This window comes from Homo sapiens, chromosome 3, assembly GCF_000001405.40.
Source record: "Homo sapiens chromosome 3, GRCh38.p14 Primary Assembly".
NCBI lineage: Eukaryota > Metazoa > Chordata > Mammalia > Primates > Hominidae > Homo > Homo sapiens.
In genome coordinates this window covers 38,965,983-38,991,653 of record NC_000003.12, presented here as the reverse complement: position 1 = coordinate 38,991,653, position 25,671 = coordinate 38,965,983, and the positions used below count along the sequence as shown (strand labels likewise).

The following is a 25,671-nucleotide window of genomic DNA, read 5'->3' as shown; positions in this document are numbered from 1 at the left end:
AATTGTCCAGTGAAAATGGAGGCCTAGGATTGTCAGATCTTTTGGTTTTATCCAAAGTCAGAAATCCAAATTTTTATACAAATTTTGTCAATTTTTGTAAGCTGTCAAGTAACTTTAGGAAATTGCACAACATTATCAGGTCAAACAAAGAGGTCTTCATCTCTCTATGATCGCCGCAAACACACAGTTGTGAGTAGGAAGGTTGGGGAGCTCAGAGACAAAGGAAGAGAGGGTGGGGGTGAGCATAGTGTCCAGAGCCTGAAGGATGGATTCTGTGAGCTGGCAGGAGGGCAGGTCCCCAGCTCCCTCTGGGCGGAGGAAAGAGTCCATAGGCTCATCTTCCCTGTACCCAGTTGCTGCCCAAGGACTGGCCCTGGCTTGGTCTTCTTCTCCTTCTGAGCAACTGTTTCCTTCAGAGAAATGGTGGGGCATGGGGAGGATAGTCTTAATTTGTTTTTTATAAAACAATATTTAGTTGTAAAAGTGATTCAAGGTGAAACTTTCTAACTTTTAGAAAGTATAAAATACTTTTTTCACTTCACTCCCATCCATTTCTAAGAAGTAATCACTGATAACATTTATTTTTCCATATCATCCTGGAAATTTCCTAAGCACAAAAAACCATATACATGATTATTTTTTCCCCCAGGAGACGGAAGAAAGATGTGATTGGCCACTGAATGGGGAGCAGAGTCCCCACTCTGTGCATTTGTGCCTGCAGTGTCTCCTGCTTGGAAGGTACTTCCCTTCCTTCTCATCTCCTTTACTGCCTTGAAAGACACACAGTGTGGTGGTCAGGAACACAGACCCCTGAGTCAGACTTTCTGGCTCCACATCCTGCCTCTACCAATTGCTAGCTCTGACCTGTGCCGAGTTTCTTAACCTTTTCATGCCATGATTTTCTCATCTGTGAAAAGGGGATTGGAAGCAGACTCTATTTCGAAGGGCTGTGGGGAGGAATGAATGTGTTAAAGTATATAAAGGGCTTGCACAGGATTTGGCACAGAGCATGTGGTATGTAAGTGTTTACTATTGTTATTGTTCTCAAAGGCCCAGCACTTGTTTCCTTCCTAGTAGGAAACCATTCTCAGTCATCCCTAATCTTTGCTCCTCTCTCCTCCTCCAATTTACCTCTTTTAATGCTAATTATGCCATCTAAATTGGCACCTAATTATATTGCCTCACATTATCTCAACACCTATCATACATGCAAGCATAATGCTGACTTTTTGAGGGCAGGCGCCATGCCTTTCACTCCTTTGTGCCCACATAGAGGCATTGTGTGGGCAGATTTGGGTCAGGAATGCAGGTGTGAGGGCCTCCATGTCTGTGTTCGGTCTCTGCCCCTTATTGCAGAGGTGAGTGAGATGCAGCAGGGAGCCCGGGGCCCAGCAGTTTCTCCCCTCCAGCACCTCGGATAAGTCGAGATGGAGTGCCTCCCTTGCTCTGAGCTGCTCTTTATATTCCCCAGAAGTCGCTCTGCCAAAATTTAGAGCCAACTGTTTTAGAAACTCTCGGCAGCACCAGGGCCCTAAGGGCAGCAATGCTCTGCACTTCCCCTGATCCCCAGGGAGCCTCTGAGCTCATCTCAGTAAAACTTTAATGCCTGGAAGTCAATTAGAGTGAATTCTCCTGTAATCAAAAGAGGCAATGCTTTTATTGGAAAGGTGCAAACTGGAAGAGAAAGATGACAGCTGTGTGAGCCTCTGGAAAGCTAATGGCTTGGACTGGGAACATTATTTCGACAGAGTCACCCTGTATCTACCAGGCACCAAGATAAAATGAGAGGGGGTGGGGTGGACGGGGGAACGGATTGTAGGGGGCCTTAATGATTATTTTCATAATGTGCTGCAAAGTTCCCAGAGCATGTTCACACATTTGCTCTCCTAAAATCACCTACCAGTTCCACTATGTGGAATTACTCACTAATTCCCATTTTACAGAGGAAAAACTGAAGTTCAGAGAAGTTAAGTATGCAACTGGAGTTGGAACCCTAGCCTCTCCACTTCTTTTCAGAAAGCAGACCTGGCTGGACTGAGGCATGTGGATGAGGAAGAGGAATCCCTGCTCTTTCTAAGCACATTCTTCAAAAGCACCATCTTTTTGTTGCCTGTTGAAGGAATTCTGAAAAGCAGTTAGAGTAAGTCATGTGAAATTTATGACTTGAACATCAGTGGACAGATGCACGGGTTGTACCTAGCTGTTCCAGCTTACTACTGTTGCATAACAGCTCACTCCAAAACTTACTGTCTTTGAACAACCATTTTAGTATACTCACAGATCTGTGGGTTAGGGATTCAGTCAGGGCAGCGGGTTTCTGCTCCATGATGTCTGGGGCCTCAGTTAAAAAAAACTTTTAGGCAGGGGCTGGAATCTTCTAATGGCCCAACTGGCTGGAAGTCCAAGATTGCTCATTGCATGGCTGGAGTTAATGCTGGCTGCTAGGTGGATGCTCAACTAGGGCTGTTGACCAGAGCGCTACTTGTGGTCTCCCCAGCATCGCAGTCTCAGGATGTCTGGAGTTCTTATATGGAGGCTGGCTTTCCCCCAGAGTGAGCATCACAGGAGAACCAGGCAGACTTTTGTTGACCCTTCATCACTTCCACCTTACTCTAATGGTTGCAGCAGTCACAAACCTGCCCAGACTCAAGAGAAGGGACATAGATCCCCACCTCTCAGTGGTGCCAAAGAATATGCAGCCATTGTTTTTAAAAAACCACATACTGCCTTTTTCCTTTATGTCCTTATTCTTTTATTCTCCTATGACCCCATCAGTCCCAACTTTAGGAGTTGTAGTAGGAGTCAGCAGGTGCTGGAATCCCGTCTTGGCTTTGCCACTCACTAGCTATGTGACCTTGGACAAGCCACTTACCCCATCCACATTCCTATTTCCTCATTTATAAAATCAGAGTTGTAATAAAAATAAACTTTTAGATATCTCCTGTCACTTATAAAATATCTTTAAAGCCTAGCAGTCTTATAACACTCTGAACGGAGTTGTTATGAGGGGAGGGAATATTCCCAAGCTGATGGTAGAACTCTTTTGTTGGGCAGAATCCTGGTGACAAGACGAATAAATGAGGCGATGGCTTTCAGAAACAATGGCAGGGAGATGGAGTAAGGGCTGGACAGGGGAAAGATGTGTGCGAGGACTACCTGAGACAGAAAGAGACTGCAAGGTGTGTGGAGGGCAGGCATGAGCTGCAGACGGGGAGAGAACTGTAACAAGGAGGGATGGGGGAGCCCAGAGACTTGTGATGGAGGCCACAGGGTCTGTACTGGCCAGGAGGTGAATGATGGAATTGCCTAGGCTCAGAGAATGAGAGATAGGTGATAAATAAGGAAGGAAGAGTATTTCTCCTTCAGAGCCCTGTGTGGCTCAGCCCAGGGCTAGAGAGGCAAGCAGGGAGACTGGCTGGAAGGATGTTAAGGGCAGGCATCAAGGCTGTGGACTCAGGGGAAGTCACAGGCAGGCAGGGCCAGCTTTATGTGTGTGTAACTGGTGCAGTCACATGGGGCCCTGCATTCAGAAAGCCCAGTGCTTTAATGCTCTGTTGTCACCATTCTAAAATTCTTAATTATTTATGGACAAGGAGCCTCAAATTCCCATTTGCACCGGGCGCCACAAATTATGTAGCTAGTCCTGGAGGCAGGACGGTATGACTGTTTCCCTCACGCTTGATTCTGAGGCTGAACTGCAGACTTTGTGCTCAAATCCTTCCCAGGATGGCAAAGTGAGTTATGTGCAAGCTCTGCAAATGTGGGCTGGAGACAGAAACAGGGCAGTGAAATATTCTGCTGCTGGAGAAGCCAGACAGGTTTGGGATGTGGTCCTTTATTAAGAAAACTTCTCCTCAAGGCTGGGCCTGGAGCAAGAGGGCACCTTGGCTCCCTGAGAGAGCAGCCCCGGGCTCTGTGGCTTCACAGAGCCTGCTCTTTGCATTTTTAAGGTAAGATTCATCAAATTTGATCAACTAGGCTTCACTGAAGTGCCAGTGTCCAGAACGAGTGTGAGGTCGCCTCAGGGATGAAGTTAGACCCCTTCAGGTCACATGGGCAAATGGTGTCTCCTTTGTGTGATGCCTGCTCTTAGGAGAAAAGTCTTGGATCTCAGAGTGTCTTGGGGAGATTACTACTTTCCTCAATACTTGATCCACATTCCTTGAGGAGTCCCTAAGAAGGTTCAGGCACTGAGAGAGAGACAGCCCTGTCCCTGTGGAAGAAGCTGTAAGCTAGAAATATGGGCCCCAGACATGCTTGTGCCATTAGCCAGCCTTGCAAGATGAGTGAATCCTGTAAAGGACAGGACAGGTGTGTGTGTGTGTGTGTGTGTGTGTGTGTGTGTGTGTGAGAGAGAGAGAGAGAGAGAGAGAGAAAGGCACTGGGAGGGAGAGAAAGGGAGGAAGAAGAAAGAGGAGGGAATAGGGGAGAAAGGAGCGATGAAAAGAGGACAGGACAGGACAGGAAAGAGGAGAGATGGATGAATGCCTGTGATGTTAATTTTCCCATCCTCCCTTCCAAAGATACTCAGCTTCTGTCTTTTACTGCGCATTAGTCACTATGTACTGTGTTTGGGGTGGTTTCACATTAAACACTTGTGTGTGTGTGGTAGGCAGAGCCTTGTGTTTCTCAATGGGATGTGTCTCTACTGGTCTTGCTGTAGTTGTCCAGGTGCGGAAAGAAACGGGTAGGGGTACAAAAATGCAGGGGACTGAATTCCACCTTGACCTGTCAAGGGGAAAGTGGTCTCACAGCTGGAAAATGACATGTGGCTCTATAGATCCTTGCTCCAAGAGACTCAGTACAAACCTCAAACACAAAGCTGTGCTCTGCATGGCCAGGCTGCAAAAATCGCAGGGTTAATTGCAGGACTTCCACTTGGTTGTATCAGTATTGTATGGATCTGCCCCATATTTCAATGCCTCCTTGTCCTTTGTTTGTTCCTCTCCAACATGGTTGATCTCTGGCTCATTCCCCAACTCTACTCCCACTCAATACAACAACAACAACAACAACACACACACACAGAGAGAGAGAGAGAAGGAGGGAGGGAGAGATACTTGCATCTTAAACCTGATTAGCAGCCTGGATTGATTTCTTTTTACATCTTCAGTTTCGGGGTTCCCTCTTCTTTCTTGTGGTCACCTCACTGCATCACCGTTCATAAAGCCTGGTGGGCCACTCAGTATGTAAGGCAGAAGCAGGGTCTGTCCAGCTCAGCTCACACTTCAATGGGGAACACCCAGCTCCACTGAAGTCTCCATTCCATGTGTCTGGAATCATTCCCTTTGATCCATTTGTATCTCTCTGAAACTGATCATTCCACTCCTATTCCTGCATATTCTTCAGTTCCTCTTTATTAGACTGGCCTCCCTGACGCATCTGCTGGCTCTGTCGGCACTTCCTTCTGGCAGCAGTGTGGATGGTGTGGTGACGGTCCATTGAAATGGCCTCTAGTGATTCTCAGCTCCTAGTATTCATGCCCATGTGTAGTCTCCTCCCACAATGAAGGCAGCTGATCTGTATAACTAACAGGATATTGTGCAAATCAAAAAGTGTGACTTCCAAAGCTAGACATTGTGGCTTTTGCCTTACTTTCTTACATCACTTGTATAGGACACTCAAACAGACTGTGGAAAGGTCCCGGTAGGGAGAAATGGCAGTTTCCCACCAATGGCCAGTACAACCTTGCCTCATGAGTGAGCCACCTGCAAAGCAGACCCTTTAGTCCCAACCAAGACCAACTAGCTAACATCTTGACTGCAACCTCAGGAGAGATCATGAGCTGGAGGAACCCAGCTAATCCATTCTGGAATTCATGACCCATAGAAACTGTGAGATGGTAAACACTTATGGCTATTTTAAGCCACTAAGTTTTGAGGTCATTTCTTACACAGCAGTAGATGACTAATACTTTAAACAACATGTCTCTTCTAGTTTTCACCATCCCAGCAAATGGCAAATGCATTTATGCTGTTGTTCAGTCCAAAATCCAAGACTCAGCCTTGATTATACTCTTCCCCTCACAATCCACATCAGCAAATTATGTAAGACAGCTTTTTCTTGAAATGGTTTCACAAATCTATCTGCCTTTCTCCATCTTCACTGCCATAGCTCACACCCAAGCCATGGTCACCTCCAGCCTGCACTCCTGCAACAGTGTCCCCACTGATCTTTTCATTTTTACACCTGTCCCTAACAGTTGATTCTTAAGACAGCCAGCAGGCCGGGTGCGGTGGCTCACGCCTGTAATCCCAGCACTTTGGGAGGCCGAGATGGGTGGATCACGAGGTCAGGAGATCGAGACCATCCTGGCTAACACGGTGAAACCCCGTCTCTACTAAAAATACAAAAAAAAATTAGCCGGGCGTAGTGGCGGGTGCCTGTAGTCCCAGCTACTCGGGAGGCTAAGGCAGGAGAATGGCATAAACCCGGGAGGCAGAGCTTGCAGTGAGCTGAGACTGCGCCACTGCACTCCAGCCTGGGCAACAGAGCAAGACTCTGTCTCAAAAAAAAAAAAAAAAAGACAGCCAGCCAGAAAGACATTTTTTTAAAAAATCCGAATATGTCATCCTCTGTTTAAGCCCTCCTGTGGCTTTCATTGTATCACAAAACTGAAATAGTCTGCTGCAGCCTAGTGACCATACATAATCCAGCCCCTGCCTACATCTCTGCCTCATCTCCTACTATGCTTGCTCATTCACTCAACTCTAGTCACACTGGCCTCCTCACTGCCCTTGAATGTGTTTCTGAGTCAAGGTCTTTGCATTTGCTCTTATTTTCTTGGAATGTTCCCTCCCCCAGACTTTCGCGTGCCTTCATTGAAAGCTCAACACGAATTTCAGCCAGGCACAGTGGCTCACGCCTGTAATCCCAGCACGTTGGGAGGCCAAGGTGGGCGGATCACCTGAGGGCAGGAGTTTGAGACCAGCCTGGCCAACATGGTGAAACCCCGTCTCTACTAAAAATACAAAAATTAGCCGGGCATGGTGGCAGGTACCTGTAATCCCAGCTACTTGGGAGGCTGAGGCTGGAGAATTGTTTGAACCTGAGAAGCAGAGGTTGTAGTGAGCCAAGATCATGACATTGCACTCCAGCCTGGGGGACAGGAGTGTGGCTTTGTCTCAAAAAAAAAAAAGCTCAGCACAAATTTCACCTCCTCAGAAAGGCTTTCCTTGACAATTCAATATCAATATCTCCCTTTTACCATCTACCCCCTTGTCCTCACCACTAAGGTGCCATATTGGATTTAGGGTTCTTGGGTTGCAAACAACAGAAACCAGCTCTTTCTTATTTAAACTAAAATAACAATTATGGGAAGGTAGGGGGAGCTCTTTAGATTGAATGCAATGTTGAAGAGCCAGAAGGAGGCAGATACTAGCAGCTCTGAACATGTTGGTCTCCAGATGAATAGGGCACCTTCCTCAGTGGAGGCACCCATTGAAGAATGAGTACATTCCTAGAGAATGTGGTCTAAGAGGATTATGAGTGAAAAGGACCTGATGGTCATGGAGCAAGACTGCTCTGGGATTCCTCCTTTCCTGGTGGTTGCAGAGAAGGAACAGTGGGAAAGAGGGAGGCTGTAGAAGGATGACTGGTGTGGAAACTTTCCCAAAGCAATGGGACTAAAAAGATTTAGAAATGTGATCAGCAGGACTTCATTTTACCCTGTTCTCCTGGGAACAAATCAATGAGGTGATCATTATCTTCACCAGAGGCCCATTTAGAAATTGAACATTTTTAAAAGCACACAGAACAGAAGGATTTGTAATGTGTAAGTTTATCTCTAAGTAATTTCTCTCTCTAACTTCCTGGTGGATGAAACCCAACACAAGTTAGCTTAAGCAAAAAAGGTCTTTGTGTTTTTTGTTTTTTAAATAGAGATGGATAGTTCTTTCGTAAAACCATAGGACTGTCATGATGGTCAAAGGACTAGAACCAGAAACTTAAGAGTCATTAGCAACTCAAAGAGATTCTTTCTTTTTTGGATTTTCTTTCAAGCTCCCTTATGGGGTAGAGGTTGTCATTAACTTATAGATGAGGAAACTGAGACGCAGAGGTTAAGTAACTTGCCTTAGGGTCACACTTGGCTTTACCTTAATGATAGGAGGGTCCTTGTTTGTCTTGAGGGTTTCAGAATTTCCTTGTTCATTTCTCTATTACTTTCTTTCCCCATTCAAGTGAGACTCAAGTTGCTGACACAGGGGAGGTCAGGCCACAGAGGACCCAGTGTCTATTGAAACTCTATTTTATAGGGCACAGTGAGCACCCTTCCTCAGCTCCCAAAGCCTGTTCTTTCTAGAAGCCTTAACTTAACTAGGGGAGTTCAAAGTCATGCACCTTTTGCCTAGGTCTGAATATTGAAGAATGGCCTGACCACTCTGGTGAAGGTGACATGGAGCAAAAAACATCAAAGCTCAGGGGTGAAGAGGAATCATGAAGGCCATCTAATGCAGGGGCCACAAACCCACACGCAGCAGGAACCACTCAGGTACTATAAAGGAAATAAGTAGCACAGTAAGAAGAGTGGTGAGGTCTGTGGCTAATGGTCTCATCTAAAACAGCCTTCCCTATTCAGCTCTGGCTTCTTGCTGACATTTTGGACTCATACTCAACATTGTTAGATTTTCTGAGTTTTCAAGAGAAGCCAGAAGTTTTCCCCGCTACTTTGTATTGTTGTGAAAATTAAATGAGATAACTCACATAAGTTGATTGGAAGATGTGTCTGGCATATGGGGTAAGCTTTCAGTAAGTGTTCATGGCTATAATAACATTTCGCAGATGTGGAAACCAAGGCCCAAAATGGTCTCCCCCAAGATCACATTTATTGGAAGATGTTACATGACAGCCCAGGATCCTGACCCTGGGTCCACAGTTCTTCCTTCCTGGTTTTCCTTTCCTGACCCCCACCCCATCCTTGAGCCATCACCATTGTCACTGTGTAGCATGACACATTTTAACTAACTATATGCTGCTTCACCACTGTATCTTTCATATATTATGTCTGCTGATTCCCTACTTTCAGAGAAATTTTCCTCCCTTAGTAAATGAAACCTATGTCAAAGCTTGTTCCAGTAAAACAATCCACTGGGTTGTTCGTATAAAAGCAATAGCTCTGAAGCAGCTCCCCACCCTGCCTTATTAGCTCGGCAGGGCTGTATTACATAATCTCAGACCTTTCCATTTAAGTCAGGGGCTCACCCACTGTTTACCCAGGGCCCATTAAACCATTAAGAAAAAAGGATGCCTTAGTGGGCCAGGAAGACTTGTGCACTTTGTTGAGAATGAAGCTAATTTCCTCTTGCTCTGTGGAAACAAATGCGCTTTACACCCAGTAAAAGTTCCAGGAATTCTGCATCCTGTAGTGGTCCAGATGTGGTCCCACAGAGTAGGCAGCAGGGACTGTCATTTCCCCCTTAGTACTCCCAGTTCCAAACAGGCCAGGGTTGGCCCAAGTTGGTACTTTCATCTTTTGCTCAATCCCACAGTTCTAAGTTAATGCCATCTCCTTTTGCACTACGTGTCAGCTTCATTCGGCTCACTGGAACACCTGAGGCTGGATGGGGCCACACTTGTCCCTTGTGGTTTTGTTTGTCTGTTTTTGTTTTTTTCTTTTTGCTTTTTGTTTTGTTTTTTTTTTTTGAGACAGAGTCTCACTCTGTTGCTCAGGCTGGAGCACAGTGGCATGACCTTGGGATCTTGGCTCACTGCAACCTCTGCCTCCTGGGTTCAAGTGATTCTCATGTCTCAGTCTCCTGAGTAGCTGGGACTACAGGTGCCTGCCACCATGCCCGGCTAATTTTTGTATTTTTAATAGAACAGGATTTTGCTATGTTGGCCAGGCTGGTCTCAAACTCCTGACCTCAGGTGATCCGCCTGCCTCAGCCTCCCAAAGTGCTGGGATTACAGGAGTGAGCCACTGTGCCAGGCTCTCCCTTATGTTTTTTGAACTGGAATTCTCCCTGTGGATTGCCCTGGTGCTAGATTCATGCTTGGCCTTGGGATGGCTACTATGGCACTTTGTCTAAAAAATTTGCCATAAATCAGATGTCTGCTGCTCTTTCCTGAGACCACGGATGAGGAATACACACACACACACACACACACACACACACAAACACACACACACAACACAGAAACACTGATGCCTAAAGGTACCAGGAAGATGGGCCCCGGAGGCACTGGCCACCTTGGTGCTCAATGTTGCTGCTTTTTCAGTCCTTCTCTCCTCACAGTGCTCTGTTCATATTGGAGCCAAATTCAAGCCATTTTCCAAGTCTGTTTTTCTGAATTACTTGGAAATGTAATTAAAGTACAAAAGAAGGCACTCTGAATTTCTCCAACAGGTCAGGAAGTGACATTCCTGGATAATAAGAATTTCCGTAATACATGGAAAGCTGAACTCAGAGAAGGCTTGTTAAACATGTGGTTGATCAGATTAGGGTTTTTCTGAATTAGGAAGATAAGGAAGAAAACCAAGAACCACAGCATAAACTGTAGCCTTGGAAACTGTGTCATACTAGTGGAAAATGCAGACAGACAGGTAGACATCTACAGAAAGGGCAGACAAAGGATTTCTCCTGAAATTGAAGAAAACCAATTACAGGGTTTGTTCTGCTACCGACAAACAGAGTGAGATACTGTGTCTGGTGTTCTGTGGTATCTCACCCTGGTTTTGATAGACCATTTCTCCACTGTATCAGAAATTTCAGGCTCTGTGTAAGTTGTGGTTTTAAAAAAAGTGTGTCTCTGACTATCTGGTCTCCTTTGGCTCAGCTTCCACCCCCAGTAAGTAAATCTCTGGTTATTAATTTGGTTTCCTTGGTAGCATGATGTTGGGGAAAAGCTGCCCTGGATATCAGTCAGGACTATTTTCTTAAATAAATGAAATGTTTCTGAATCATCAAAGGTGGGGACAAAATTCTGGATCTGACCTGATTTATCTGTAATCCCCTCTCTGCCAGAAGCAACCACCTCCAGAAAACCCAAAAAGCCCCCAGAGGTCTCTCTTGAGCTCATATACACTTGAAACCAGGCTACAGTTTATAACACCTCTTCACATATCTTTCCTTATCCTCCCACTTTTCTGATGATGTTTAGTTTACCATCTCTGTATCACAGACTCAGAGAGGTTCTGTGACTTGCCTGGGCTCCGCAGTAAGAGCGTATTGCAGCTGTGGCTCCATGACCGACATCACTGAATCACAGTTGTCTGCAGTGGTTCTGGGTCTTTTGTTGAATTGCTTCCCCATTAACTTCCCTTCCTGGAGAGATGGTTTTAGAAACCAATTTGCCTCTGGAGGTGATTCCCCTTGTTTCTGCCATTCTTTTCCCTGAGTGCAGTTTTCCATGGTTTTCCCAGGATCCATGTAATGTAAATGATTCTATTCTTTCAATGTGAGTTGGTATTTTTTTTTTTCTCAAAGAAAGCAGAAAGAGATATTTTCATTCACACCTACTGTGAGTTGTGCCTAAGTTGATGCCTCCTCCAGCATTTACGAGCACCCAGCAGCAAGGGTTGTCTGCACCTCTGAGAGCTTCCTCAGCTGTGGGGACTAACACTGAGTCGCTCAGGTTCTCCTTCTGCCTGGTCCCCTGGGCCTGGTGCTGGTGTGGGTGTGATGTGGGCCATACGTGAGCTGCAGGCCTGGGTTGAATCTCAGGGTGACCACAGAACAACAAGCGGCTTTCTCTTCTGTTGAGCAAAGAAGCTGAATGGGCAGGGTGGGGTCTGCACTAAGGGGGTTTTAAATTTTTGCTGGGGAAGCCTTGATGTGATCTGTGGGGAAATGGGAGTTGGGAGACTTCCCAGTTTTTCAGCTAAGAGGCAACCTGCCCATATATGAATTTAGGACTGTGCCTGTTAGAGAATCCATTAGAGAAGACAAAGGCTGGAGGGGTCTGTTAGAATGGTTGAGATGCCAGGGACAAGAGCTTGACTTAGAGATTGGCAGTGGAGATAGAGAGACTTTGGAGAAACACTATGCAGACTTGGCAGAGAAATGATCAAATTTTTTTGGTGTTTTATGAAATGTGAAGTCTAAAAGAATCATGGAAGGCTGTTTTAAACCTTGTTAGTTATATCTTTATTTTTCCATATGGAAGCCCCTGCCTATCTGTCACAGTCTTGTGTGAATGGGATGACACAGATCTGCAAAGGATGGACCATGGAGATGGCAGTATCTGGAGGACTCAGAAGATTCAGAAAGCACTGACTCTCAAAACTTGTGAGCACCATACCCAGCTGTGCCTCCTTGGTCAAAGGAAGCAGTGGTGACCTCACCGGAGAAAGCTTACAATATCTCTCACACCACATAATCAAGTCAGAAACACAGGTGTTGATTAGGGAAGAAAAAAGTTACATCCACATGGAATTGCACTTTACTACTTAGATTTCAAAAATCTGGGAACCATTCAGTCACTCATTCACTCTTTTCTTCATTCAGCAAATACTATTAAATGCCTACAGTGTGTCAGGCACCATGCTAAATTCTGGAAATTCAATGGTGAGCAAAACCAGGAATAGTCATAGCCCTGGTGAATTTACATAACAGAGGCTAATCAATTTCACAAACAAATGCAAAACTGTCCCTGGGAAAAGTGCTATGAAGGAGAGACCCACAGCGCCCTGAGGCCTGAGGTAGAGAGGATTTGGCCCAATTAGAAGTTCTTTAAAGGTTTCCCGAGGCTGACCTTTGAAAGGCTAGAAGGAGGTAAGTAAACATGATGGGGAAGAAGGTTTTAGGTCGAGTGGCATGTGCAAATACCCTGTGGCAGTGACATGGCAAGCACTAAGGACAGAAAGAAGGCTGCTGTGGAAGGGCAAGGCAGAGAGCGGAGGGGCCGAGGCTGGAGGGGACAGGGCCAAAGCACGCTGGGTCCACAAACCACATTAGGGAGCTTTTCTTTATCCTTCCTTATCATGTTTAAATTTAATAAAATCAAATTATCTTCATTTCACTTTATATTACTTTCTGTTTATGAAAAGAGTTATTAATTTTTTTTTTTGAGACAGGGTCTCACTCTGTCATCCTGACTGGAGTGCAGTGGCGTGATCTCGGTTCACCGCAACCTCTGCCTCCCAGGCTCAAGCAATTCTCCTGCCTCAGCCTCCCGAGTAGCTGGGATTACAGGTGTGTGCCACCACGTCCAGCTAATTTTTGTATTTTTAGTAGAAACGAGGTTTCACCATGTTGGCCAGACTGGTCTTGAACTCCTCATCTCAAATTATCCACCCACCTGGGCCTCCCAAAGTTCTGGGATTACAGGTATGAGCTACCGTGCCGAGGAAAAGTGTTATTCATTTTTAATGAACAGGAGTGACATACAGATTTTAAAAAGAATATATCTAAGAATAAAAATAGACTTGATATAAATAAAAATAGTAAGTTAATAGTTATACAGGTGTTCGGTAGAAGTGGCAAAAATGGCAAACCTGGAGCAGAGATGACTGTGGTGGAAGAAGTGTGGGTTCTGCAGGAAGCAGATGTGGTCATGGATCCTGGCCTCTCCACCACCAGCTCTGTGATCTTGGCATTGAGCATCAGTTTTCTTGTCTGTAAAATGGGGATAGTAATACCTGTTGTATGTGGGTAGTTGCAATATTGCAGAAGGTTCCAACAGTGCTTGGCACATCATAGACAATCAGTGAATGTATGTTCTTCTAAAAGGAAAATAATTTTCTGAAAGCATTGAGAATAGTAATATTGGTGGGGAGAGGCTGAAGATGGTCTGACCATTCAAATATTCCTGGTGAGAGATGATGCAGATTTAATATGGGATGGTGGCAAGAAGAGAAAAGTCCATGGAGGAGGTAAACTTGAGCTATGCCTTTGAAAGAATGGCTTATCTGCTGATTAATCAATATGTAGAGAGAAAGAAAAACATGCATTCCAAGTAGAAGTTACAGAGTAAGCTAAGCGCAGAAGGGGAAGCTCCAAGGCATGTTGTTGGGTGATGGAGATGTTCCAATTTGGGTATCAGTGGGAAATGAGTCTGGAAAGGCAGGTGAAGGTAGGGCCATATTCTGCAGCTTTACTTGCAGAGCAAAGAGGTGTGATCAAAACCAGAGAAAACACAAACAACACTAACAGTGGTAATGGCTTGCATTTGTTGAGCACTTATGATGTATCAAGCAATGTTCTAAAGGGTTTTCAAATATTGACTCTTCATTCCCGTATCAACCTCATGACTGCCTACAAATTACTACCATCTACAACTTACAAATGAAGGAACTGAGGCATAGAGGGGTAAAGTGACTTGTTCAGGTGATAGAATTCTTATCCAGTGCCAATGGGGAGCCCTCCGAGTCTTCTGAGCAGCCCTGGTCTCAGATGTGGCGTGTACAGGGCCAGTGGAGCGGGAGGAGGAATAGCAGGCCAACTGGCTAGAGAAGAAACCATGGCAACATTTCAGACAAATTAGGAGGGCTGGACTAGGAAGTCAAGAGTGGAGTGGAAACCCACTCTTTCTCCTTTTTGAGTGATCACAACCTACTCAGCAACAGTAATTTCTTTTTGTTTTCTCTTTAGCTTAACAGAAATACTTGTGGATCCAAATCCATGGTAGGAGGTCTGATTAAGAGGATTTGCAGAGAGGCTTTTGAGAAGTTGGATGCTCACTGCTGGTTAGAAACTACTGCTCTGGAATGAGCCACACTCTGTGCAGTATTTGATATTAAAATATTCTCCTGATTGCTTCTAATTCTACATATAATAATAAATCACTACCTTCTGAGAAGGAAGGCTCTTATTAAGTAAAATGTCTGTCATTATTCAGAGCGTCTACATGGATTTGAATATTGACTGGGTTTGGGTAGGGGGACGGGAGAAAGCTGAATTGCTGGGCATGATGAGCAAGAAGAATTAGAGATCCTGGGTGCAAGTGTGGGAGAGAGAGGGGAAGGGTTAAGGGAGAAGCCAATGAGATTATATGATGCCTGGAGCTTTGGAGTGGGGTGACCAAAGAACTGCTAAGATCAAGTGTGCAATACAGGTTTAGTATCCCTTATCCAAAATACTTGGGACAAGAAGTACCTTGGATTTCAGATTTTTAAAGATTTTGGAATATTTGCAGGCCGGTTGAGCATTCCTAATCTGAAAATATGAAACCTGAAATGTTTCAGTGAGCATTTCCTTTGAATGTCATATCAGTGCTCAAAATGTTGCAGATTTTGGAGCATTGCTGACTTCAGATTTTTTAGATTATGAATGCTCTAACTGTATTTGATTTGAAATTGTTTGTATTTCTGTAATGCAATTTCTGCCATCACCTCCCCAGGCCTTAAGTCTGCTGCATTCAAAAGTGTCTTGTGGGAGGTGTGAGTAGATGTTTTGAGTGTGTAAAAACTAAGAAACAGTCCTCATAAGTATGGAAACTTGGTTTATGACAGTATGTATATTACTGTTCTTTGACTTTCAATATTTCTGCCTTCTTATATTTTAATTGTGTCTCATAACAAGCATGTAACTGGATTGTTATTTTAAATCCAATATGAAAACAATGACACTGGAGAGTTAAGTATATTGAACTTTAAAGTGATTACTGATATATTAAAATATATTTATACTATCTTATTATGCTTATTATGTGTTTTCTCTTTATACTGCATTTTATGGTTAAAAAAATTCTAAACAATTTCCACTCTTTTTTCCTTTTAAAATATTGTGGTAAATACACCTAACATAAAATTTACCATCCTACCATTTTAAAGTGTACCATTCAATATAGCGTTAAGTACATTCACATGTTTGTGAGATCAATCTCCAGAGCTTTTTCATCTTCCCAAATTGAAACTCTATATCCATTAAACAACTCCTCTTTCTCCCCTCCTCCCGGCCCCTGGCTACTACCATTTTACTTTCTGTCTCTATGAATTGCTAGGTATCTCATATAAGTGTAATCATATAATATCTATCTTTTTGTGACTGTATTGTCACTTTACATAATGTTTAACAATCTTCATTCTTGACTTCTTTTCCTTTTCTTACTAAAATTTCCTTCTCGACTTGTTTGGAAAAAGTTATCCACTCTATGTCCACTTGAACAACTTGCTCAGCTTGCTAAAGAAGTTGAACAATTTGTTGAGCAAGTGTTTTAACATGCCTGCACTAAACCAAAACCAATCCAAATATTAATCCTGCTGAATTAGACCAGTACGAGGATCTGAGAATGCTTTAATTCTTGTTAACTTCTCTCAACTTAGATGCTTTTGTTATCCCATATTTTATTTCCAGCTTACCTTCTCACCCCTCGAATTAGACATTATTCTATTAGACATTATTACTATTGTTAATGTTATTATTAACTTCAGAGTCAGAGTTTGCTTAGCTGTATCCTCCTATTCATATCCACCTACGTTTTTACTCACCATCCCTTCATGTGTCTCAGACTTGGCATTTGGAAGAATTTTTCTTCTGCTTGAAGTATATTTTTTAGGATTTTCTTCAGTGAGGATCTTTTAATGGTAAATTTTTCTTAGTTTTTGTCTGAAATTGTCTGTATTTTACTGTCGTTTTTTGAAATAGTTTTTTATCAGCATACAAGTTTAAGTTGACAGTTTTGGGTTTTTTCCTCTCAATATATTGAACATTTTACTCTACTGATTTCTGTATTCTTTTATTGATATTGAGGTATCAGCCAAGAATTAAATTGCCGTTCATTGGTACACGATCTTTATTTTCTCTATGGCAGCTTTCAGAATCTAGTTGCCTTTGATGTTTCAAAATTTCACTATTTTGCACGTAGTTATTGATTTAAAAATTATTTCACTTTGGATTTATTGAGCTTTTTAGATTCAAAGATTGGCATTTCCTAATAATTCTGGAAATTTCTCCATTGTTATAATACACTTCGAATATTGTTTTTATTTTTTTCTATTGTTTCCTTTTAGAAATTCAATTAGACTTGAATTAGGCCTTCTTTTCTTTTCTTTTCTTTTCTTTTTTTTTTTTTTTTTTTGAGACGGAGTCTTACTCTGTTGCCCAGGCTGGAGTGCAGTGGCGCGATCTTGGCTCACTGCAACCTCCGCCTCCCAGGTTCACGCCATTCTCCTGCCTCAGCCTCCCGAGTAGCTGGGACTACAGGCGCCTGCTGCCATGCCTGGCTAATTTTTTGTATTTTTAGTAGAGACGGGGTTTCACCGTGTTAGCCAGGATGGTCTCGATCTCCTGACCTCGTGATCTGCCCGCCTCGGCCTCCCAAAGTGCTGGGATTATAGGCATGAGCCACTGCGCCCGGCCTTGAATTAGGCCTTCTTAATTCATTCTCCATGTCCCAACCCTTCTTACTTATTTTGCATCATTTTGTATTCCTGTGCCATATTTTGGTTTAATTTTGTTGTATTTACCTTTTAGTTTACTAACTTTCTCTTCATATATGTGTAATCTGTTTAACTTGTGCATTACATTTCTAAATCCCAGTTGCTAATTATTTTTATTTCTAGAAATACTGTTTCTTTAATTTTGAAATTTTCTAAGATTATTCTTTATGATCTCTTGTACCCTCATGTTTTTCAGCTTTTCTATTAGTTTTTACATTTTCTATCTGTTAATTCCAGTTCCTAAGCCTTTGTGTTGTCTATTACTTTGGCTCTCACTCATGATGACTTATTTCCTTGTATGTTTTGTGACTTTGATTGTAAGGTGATATTTTTACTAAAATCTTATTTGTGGGAATTGCTTAAGGTCTGGGTCACAGTACAACCCCTTCAGAAAGAATTCCTGTTGGCATCTGCCAGCCTCCTTCTAAAGAGAGATTTTATTTCTTGTTCACCTTACACTGTAGGTGGAGCCCTTTGGTGCTCCAGCTTTACACAATAAACTCCTTTAAAATATTCCACTTTAGATGGTCCCCAGGCTTTCTGTCCTGCCTCAACCTTGTGCAGTCATCCAAGTGGAAGCCTAAGATCTTCAGGGTGGGGCACAGATCCTTCAGGTCAAAGCTGCTTCCAACACTCTCTTCCATCCAGAGGTTTCTGTTTTCTATTTATCTTTAGAGTGCTTAAATCATCAGAGCTTTTTAAATATTCTAATTTTTAAACTTTTAATATTTTATCCAATATTTTAGTTGTTTTACTAGCAAGAATTATTCAAGGTATCTAACTATCCATACTGATAGAACTGTCATTCTAGGCTCTTCTTTAAGCACCACAGTTTTTTAATATAAAAACCATTATCTCATATTACTTTCTTTGTTAGCATTTTGATTTTGCTATATATAATTATATGTGTGTGTGTGTGTGTGTGTGTGTATCTCAACACCATTTATGTGGTGTTACTGTTGACTTCTGACTGCAAGAAGAGACAGTGAGCCTCTAATTAACAGACTTGTGAAAAAGCTTTTTCTCCTGAGATAATATTTATTTATTCAAAAGTGTATTCAAACGAATATAGCAATTAAAAACATTTTCTTGTGATAAAACTGAAGGTTGAGAATAGTTTCTAAACATAAGATTAAATGTAAATTTAAATATTGTTTAGAAAAAGTGACATGGTCTTCAAACTTACACCTATGCTACATCTTATAACTTTTCTTTTTTCTACTTCTATAATTATAAAAATGCCTTTTGATAGTAATTATTAAACTATCTTGTAGACAAGTGGACTTCAACATTTTAATATTGTCTCCTATATAATGTAACTAAAACTCTCCAAGCCTCATTAATTAATTTTCATGTAAACATTTTGTGTGAAATCCTGGTCCGTCACACAGCTCTACATGTTCCTAAATTTCTTTCCTTTGCTGACAATGTTATCAGGCTCACTTTGCCTGCCTCTTCTCCCTTTGGCCACAGGATTATTAATAAAATTCCAAACTCTAACAGATTCTTTGTGTTAAATTAAGTGTTAGAACGACTTTTTTTTTTCTATGCAGCCCATAATAAATTCAATCTACTTGTATCTGTCTTCCCAAGTAAGTGAAGGCAGAAACTGTGTCTTACTCTGTATGTCTCCTTTGACCCCTTTCTCCACTAAGTGCTTTAAAATTTGGTAAAAACTCAGTGTACCTCAGTGTGTCTCAGTGTGTGCGTGTGTGTGTGTTTACATATATATGTATGTGTGTGTGTGTATACATATATATGAAACATAAGGGAAAAAAGAGTCACAATCCAAGTTTTTGAACTGAGATGAAATCTGCTGTTGAAGCCATCTAGCTTTCTTTCAGGTGAGAGACAGCTGGGGCCTGGTTGGTGTTCAAAGTCTGGGGAATCCTTTAGATGACCTCTGGCCACTCAGCTCACCTCTGATTCTCTCTCCCTTGGGCTACCTGGGCTGCCAATGACCCAAGCCTGCTAGGGGACCAGAGCATAGGTAAAAGGACCTGGGTCACCGGAGGAAGCTGGAGGGTGAATGGTGGTTTGTCAGCCCTTGATCATGGCTATGAGGTCCTGGAGAAATGAAAAATCTGAGACTGTAAGGGGGCTTCCAAGGCTCCCCCATCACTCCCCCATCCAGGCAGGCACAGCTCTGAGCTCTTCTCTGCAGCAGGATTTTGTTCCCTCCAATTAACTGTACATAACAACAAGGAGTGAAACCAAGTAATTTAAGAAATAATTTATCATATTCAGTTCACCATTAACAGCCATCTAGTGTTTCCTTTGCCCTCTTAAATGAGTCTTTGTTCTGATGCTCAGCTCTTCTGTGTATTCCATAAGCTTTTAGTGAGTGCTTCTTCCCCCTCCCTACCTCTCTGCCTCCCTCCTTCCTCCTGCCTCCTGCCTTCCTTAAGCTTTGAAGCACAAGTGTCTTTCTGGAAGCAGCTGAGCCTTCTCCCATCCAACATCTTTTGTCCCAGTTAATAAGGAATTGAATATTACTTTATAAGCATGAACTCCAGGCTGGGTGTTGAGACATACAGAGAGTAGGATAGTCTTTGCCCTGAACCAGCTTTCAGCCCACCCAGGAGATGAGGCTCATTCACCAAGAAACAGGGAGGGGAGGAAGGAGCACATAGTATTTGTCAGTGTCATTGGCTGGGCTACTGGGGGCCAAGAAAGGTCAGATCTTGCAGTGAGAAAAGCTCCCTGGAAGAAGAGGACTTGAACCAGTTCTGAATGTTGGTGTGGATTTGGAAAGGAAGTAAAGAAGAGGGCATCTCATACAGGGGTCCAGCAGGAGCACAGATATGGCTGTGGGAATAAGTCTCTGGCATGAGTGCGGGGGAGATGAGGACAGAGAGGTGAGCCTTAGCCAGGCCAGTGCTCAGTTAGTAAGGCCCTTTACCTGCCTGCTTGCTCTTTTGTCTCCACTTTGGGATCACCTGGCCTGTGAGCCTCTTTCCTTACCTCTAGGGTAAAGGGAGTCCAACCATCCAGAAGAAATTAGGTGGTGTCCTTAGTGACGTTTTAGGTTTTAGAGTCTGTTTCTTTCACGTGTCTCTTCTGCTGAGCTCTGTGTATGTGAGCCCAGGAGGTCAAGGCTGCGGGGAGCTATGATTATGCCACTGAGCTCCAACCTGGGCGGCAGACAGAGACCTTGTCTGTTAAAAAAAAAAACAAGAAAAAGAAAAGAAAAAATGTGAGTGTGTAAGTGTATGGGTGAGTGTGAATGCACAGCTGAGCTCTCAGGGACACACATCAGACACTTACGTCTCTGGATTTGAGCCACGGCAACAGGATCTATAGCTTTGAGTTGCTGAGGCTGTGAGACCCTGGACCCTCCACTGGGGCTCTGGTAGCAGCTCTGCCTCTACTTCAAAGCCTGTTAAGCTCCCTGATGGAGGAAGATGGGTCTAGGGATTGGGAGATCAGGTAGTCTGGGCTTTCAGAGGGGCTGAAAGAGCATCCACACCTGCCCCTCCTTTTGAGCAAAGTCCCAAAGCTCTGGGGGCACAATGAAGCCTTCATGGTCAGGGTGTGCTCACGGCCCATGGTGCTGACCTCTTCTCAGAAGGCAACATCATGCGGGGTGTTATAGGGAAGGGGTCTTGCTGGTGTCCAAGGAGCCTAGAGGCTAACAATCTGGATTGCCCAGAGCATGGGTCACAGATGATCCAGGAGAGTGAGCTAAGCAGGGACCCTGAGGGTCTGACTCTCTAGACATCTGTGAGCAGGCACACACACTCACCTCAAGGCCTCTTGAATAGTGTCTGAAAGGCCAGGCCTCAACCAAAAAATTAACTAAGATTTCTAGTATCTATTTTTAATTTCTAAGATTAAATATAAAATTGACAGCAAACTAAAAGAGAAAGTTACCTTTAATTCCAAATTATGGCAATCTAATGAGCTGGTGACATATTTCTTTACTAAAATTTATTTTGGAGAGGGCATATTATTTGTTTCAAAGAAATACTCAGGTAAATTGCTTGATGAGATGGAGAGTAAGATCCCAAGGGCATGCATGCAAAAAATTACAGGGGGTGGCATCTTTAAGATTGGAAACAGTATTGAAATCTGTTTCATTCCTGAGAGGAAAGATGGCAGGAAATTGAGGTGAATAGATCCAATCGAGGGTCCAGTAGGGTTAGAAGGCCAAGAGAGATCCCCCCTCTTGCTATGGGCTGTGCAGTATAACCCTCCTCCGCTCTCTCCCCTACAGAAACACTGGTGAGATCTACGATGCTCACTAATGCTTTCCTGAGAGCAGGCTCTTTGGGGGACCAGAAGCCAGGGGCCGCAAGAGTGGATACAGGTGACAGCAGAGAAACAGGCAGCTAACATCTGCGCTGCAGATAAAAGGGAGCATTCAAAAGATGGCCACAGGGGCAGGCAAGCCTGGAGGCTTTGATTGGGCCACCTTATGTGGGAGGTAGATTGGGGGGTTTGTGTTCTCAATTTTAGAGAGAGAACTGAGCCTTCTTAAGACTAGACTTTGGCATTAAGCAGTTAACTTAAGGTGGAGTGAGGAGCTGATCCTGTGATATCCAATCATGCTGCTTCTCAGCTTGAACTTCGGTTATCAGACACTGTCTCTTTTCTTATGCACATTGTGAATTCGTTTCCAGAAGCTTTTAAATTTGTTCCAGAAATACCAACATGCACTTTCTGCCTAGTCAGGAAAAAACAAAGCAAGCTGAAATGACCAAACACAGGGAGCATCACAAGGCAATCCTCCCTTGACTCTTCAAAGAACACTAAACTGCAGCCCCTAGACCACAGGGTCAAGGATGGCAGCTTCACAGCCAGGTCAGGCATGTGTGTTTCTTCCTGTCACTACAACTCAACTCCCTCACTCCCTGTGTTCCCTAAGGAGGGGCCGTGCAGGCAGCTGATGTCACAGCAGGCCGCTGAGATTTTGTTCAAAGCTTAGACCTGTTCATCCCTCTTATGTGCTTGGTGGTGCTGCCCCTTTAAGATTTTTCTCCTCCTTCCTCCCCAGTAAGGGTAAACCAAGAAGAATGAAGCCAGGGTAAATTGAGAAAATATTTGAAGCCTATTAAGAGTGGCAACAAGTTTATGGTGATTCTTAAGTTAATTATATCCTTTTTGACTTCCAGCCAGTCCCTTCGCTGGGCCTCCATGTAGACTTGGCCACCTATCCTAGCCTCAGTCTGGCAGCATGCCTGCCTGCCTGCCTGCCTGCCTGCCTTGTTCCTTCCCTTCCTCCCTCCAACCACCTCTTCCCTGCACCCTCCTGCACAAATAAGTCAGCAAGCCACTGCAGCTACTACTTGGGGCTCAAATATGGTAGGTAGGGGCTGTGACGGGCATAAAGAATTGGAGTGTGTATGTATTTGTATCTGTGTGTGGGGTAGGGACATGGTAGCTAGTGGGAGACCACATATATAAATACTATTACCACAACCATATGCATTTATTTTCACATGTACTTTACAGTTTATAAAGTGTTAACTCCTGATCATTTAAATACATGAAAACTTTATGTAGTAGATGTTATCAGTGCCATTTTCTAGATGAAGAAACTGAGGCTCAGAAAGTTCAAAAGGAGATCACACAGCTATTAGGTGGCAGAACAAGGTAGGCTTCAGGCCAGGTCTTTGATTCTGACGTGTGTATGTGTGTGCGTGTGTGGGTGTGTATGTGTGTGCTTGTGTGCATGTGTTTGCATATATGTATGCGTGTGCACATGTGTAAGCATATGTGTGTGTGCACGTGTGTGTGCACATGTGTGTTGGGGGGAGGCATGTGTGTTTTCCCTCTACACTACACTGGTTCCCAAATAACAATAAAGTTGGACCTTTGTATAACATTTTAGAATGTATGAAGGGAAGTTTTGGCATACTGCCTCATTTAATTTTTAAAACATTGCTATAATGTTGCTATCCCCATTAGGGTTTTCTTTAGGGATTGCTTCTCCCTGGTCCACCAGGTTGGCAGGGGCAGCTGCCTGACCTCCATCTCTCTGGCCTCTGTTGAGGTTCAGAGTCAGGCCCCTGAGCCAGGTGGGGCCACTCAGTCCCTTCCCTAGGAATTTTGTATCTGGGAATGAGAGAGAGCAGCATGTAAACATGGTGGTTGAGAGTGAACATTTTCTGTCAGGTGTACTAGGATCAGAGAAAACCAGTGAACACTGAGAAAGGAGAGCAAAGAGGCTGTAGACTAGCAACAACTGCAAGAGACAAGGAGACACAGACCTCCCTGTATTTCCTACAGGTCTTCATTCTTCGGTTCTACTCCATGAGGGTCAGAAGCTTCTCTCCCCTTGAATTCTGTGTGACACCCCTGTTCTCTGCCAGCAAGCTTTCTTTTATGCTTATACTAGCTAGGGTTAGCATTCTGTTCCAAAAGAATCCTCAATACTGTATATTAGAATTGGAAGCAGAGTGAACTAAATACTTAGAAAAGGTACAAGGAATGAATAGTGGAAGTCAGAGGATGGAGCAATTTTCACTGTTGCAGGAGCTCTCATGAGTTGGGCGTTGATGCCTTTGCTGAATACTGACATGTGTGAGTAGCCCTTTGATGAGCCCTGGGGAGGGGAAATAAGAATATGCAGGAATCATCTTTTAGGAAGTTGCTCAGTCTAGCAGGTGCTTGTGTATTCCCTGCCACATTCCAGCAGCCCACCTCTGATTCCAGCTAAAGCTGTGGTGGACAGTTCCCTTGCATACTGACAGCATCCCACCTCAAGAGTCTGCCTTGCTTCACTTGGCTTTTCTGTCTCAGTGCTTTCTCCAAAGCCATGGGAGCTCTCTCAGCCCACAAACAAGCATAGCCCAGGGATTTGGAGATGGGAGGGAAATGAACTCCTGAAAATAGAGGGTCTGCTTCCAAGATGACTTACTCATATGGCTGGTAAGCTGGTGCTGGCTATTGACAAGAGGCCTCAGATGCTCCCCACGTGGAATCTCCGTAGGGCTCATTGAGTGTCCTCACAGCATGGCAACTAGCTTCTTCCAGAGTGAGCAATCCAAGACAGCAAGACAAAACTTGCAATGCCCTTTATGACTGAGCCTCAGGAATTACACATTGTCACTTCTCCAATATTCTATTGTTTACACACGTCAGCCCTGTTCAATTTGGGATAGAACCACACAAGAAAGTGAAAATCAGGAGATACGGATCATTGGGCTGCCTTGGAGGCTGGTTACCATGGCATCTCTGACAATAGGGAATGTAAGCCAGAGGATAGATGTTTCAGCCTCCTAATATTCAAGTACATTCTATGTGGTTCCTCAGACAGTCTCTAGAGAGGCTGAGCCACAGTTGGCCATATCAGTAATCATCTCAAGTGCACACCCTTTATTGGCTTCTCCTTCTCAGCTTTCCATTCCTCATTCCTTCAATCCTGTTTCCTGAGATCACTTTCCAAATAAACTCCCACACTGGAGTGCTTGTCTAATGCTTCTGGGGGAACCCAAACCAAAACACAAAGGCAATGTCTAAAATAATTTTGAAACATGAAAGTATGCAATGCACTGCATAAACATGGTCAAGAAAGGCTTCACAGAAGCCAAGGAGAATAATAGATACCAGAGGCTGGGAAGGATGTGGAGGGCAGTGGTAGGAAGAGAGATTGGTCAGTGGGTACAAACATACGGTTAGGTAGAAGGCATAAGTTCTAATGTTCAACAGCAGAGTAGGGTGACTGTAGTTAACAACAATGTATTCTATATTTCAAAGCAGCTAGAAGAGAGAATTTGAAATGTTCCCAACACATACAAATAATAAATATTCAAGGTGATGGATACCGGCCCAGATACCCTGACTTGGTTGCTACACATTCTATGCATGCAACAAAATCAAATATACCCCATAAATGGATAAAATATTGTATAGCAATAAAAATGTACAATCCTTGCTACTCTCTCCTCTTACCTTGCTTCATCTTTTTTTTGTAAAATACTCCTACCTCAAATTACATAATTTATTTGTTTTGTAATGAATGAATGATCTATAATGATAATAATGAACTATGACATTAACAAATGTTAATTTCCTTTGTTATGTGAAACTGATACACAAAATGATGTCCCTCTGGTTCAGATCTCTAAAGTGAAGTCAGGAAGCCATTCTAGGGAGGACTGACGACCTGCAACCTTGCAAACAACAACAACAAAAACCCTCAGAAACTTGCCTCGAATTTTTGGGTTGGGCCAAACAGCCTTGATGGCAACGTTCTGGAAAGCAGCTGAATTTCACCAGCGCTGCAACTTCTGAACAGAAACAACCAATGATCTCAGGTACTAAGCCAGCTGCCTCTACCAGTGATATATATTTTTTCAAAACAACTTGCATAATCATCCTCAGCTTCTTTTTTTTTTAATTTTTTT

The 25,671-nt window shown here is 43.5% G+C and overlaps 1 protein-coding gene across 3 annotated transcripts in view, besides 1 other annotated feature; it reads left to right on the top strand.

The window, feature by feature from the left end:
• The window catches only part of SCN11A (sodium voltage-gated channel alpha subunit 11), a 206,181-nt gene that overhangs the window by 60,291 nt on the left and 120,219 nt on the right, over positions 1-25,671 (top strand). The window contains exon 3 of one of the 3 annotated variants that reach the window (NR_164473.1): positions 14,532-14,761. The exons of the other annotated variants lie outside the window; for them this stretch is intronic. The gene's annotated coding sequence lies outside the window, so the exon portion shown is untranslated. Of the gene's footprint in view, positions 1-14,531; positions 14,762-25,671 lie in introns of those variants that run through there. 3 annotated transcript variants of the gene reach the window in all.
• Positions 12,255-12,756: an enhancer, noted in NCBI's record as "NANOG hESC enhancer chr3:39020389-39020890 (GRCh37/hg19 assembly coordinates)". NCBI's record gives its function as "activates a minimal SCP1, AML or CMV promoter by ChIP-STARR-seq in primed H9 embryonic stem cells {active_cell/tissue: H9 hESC(primed)}" and the evidence as "EXISTENCE:reporter gene assay evidence [ECO:0000049][PMID:30033119]".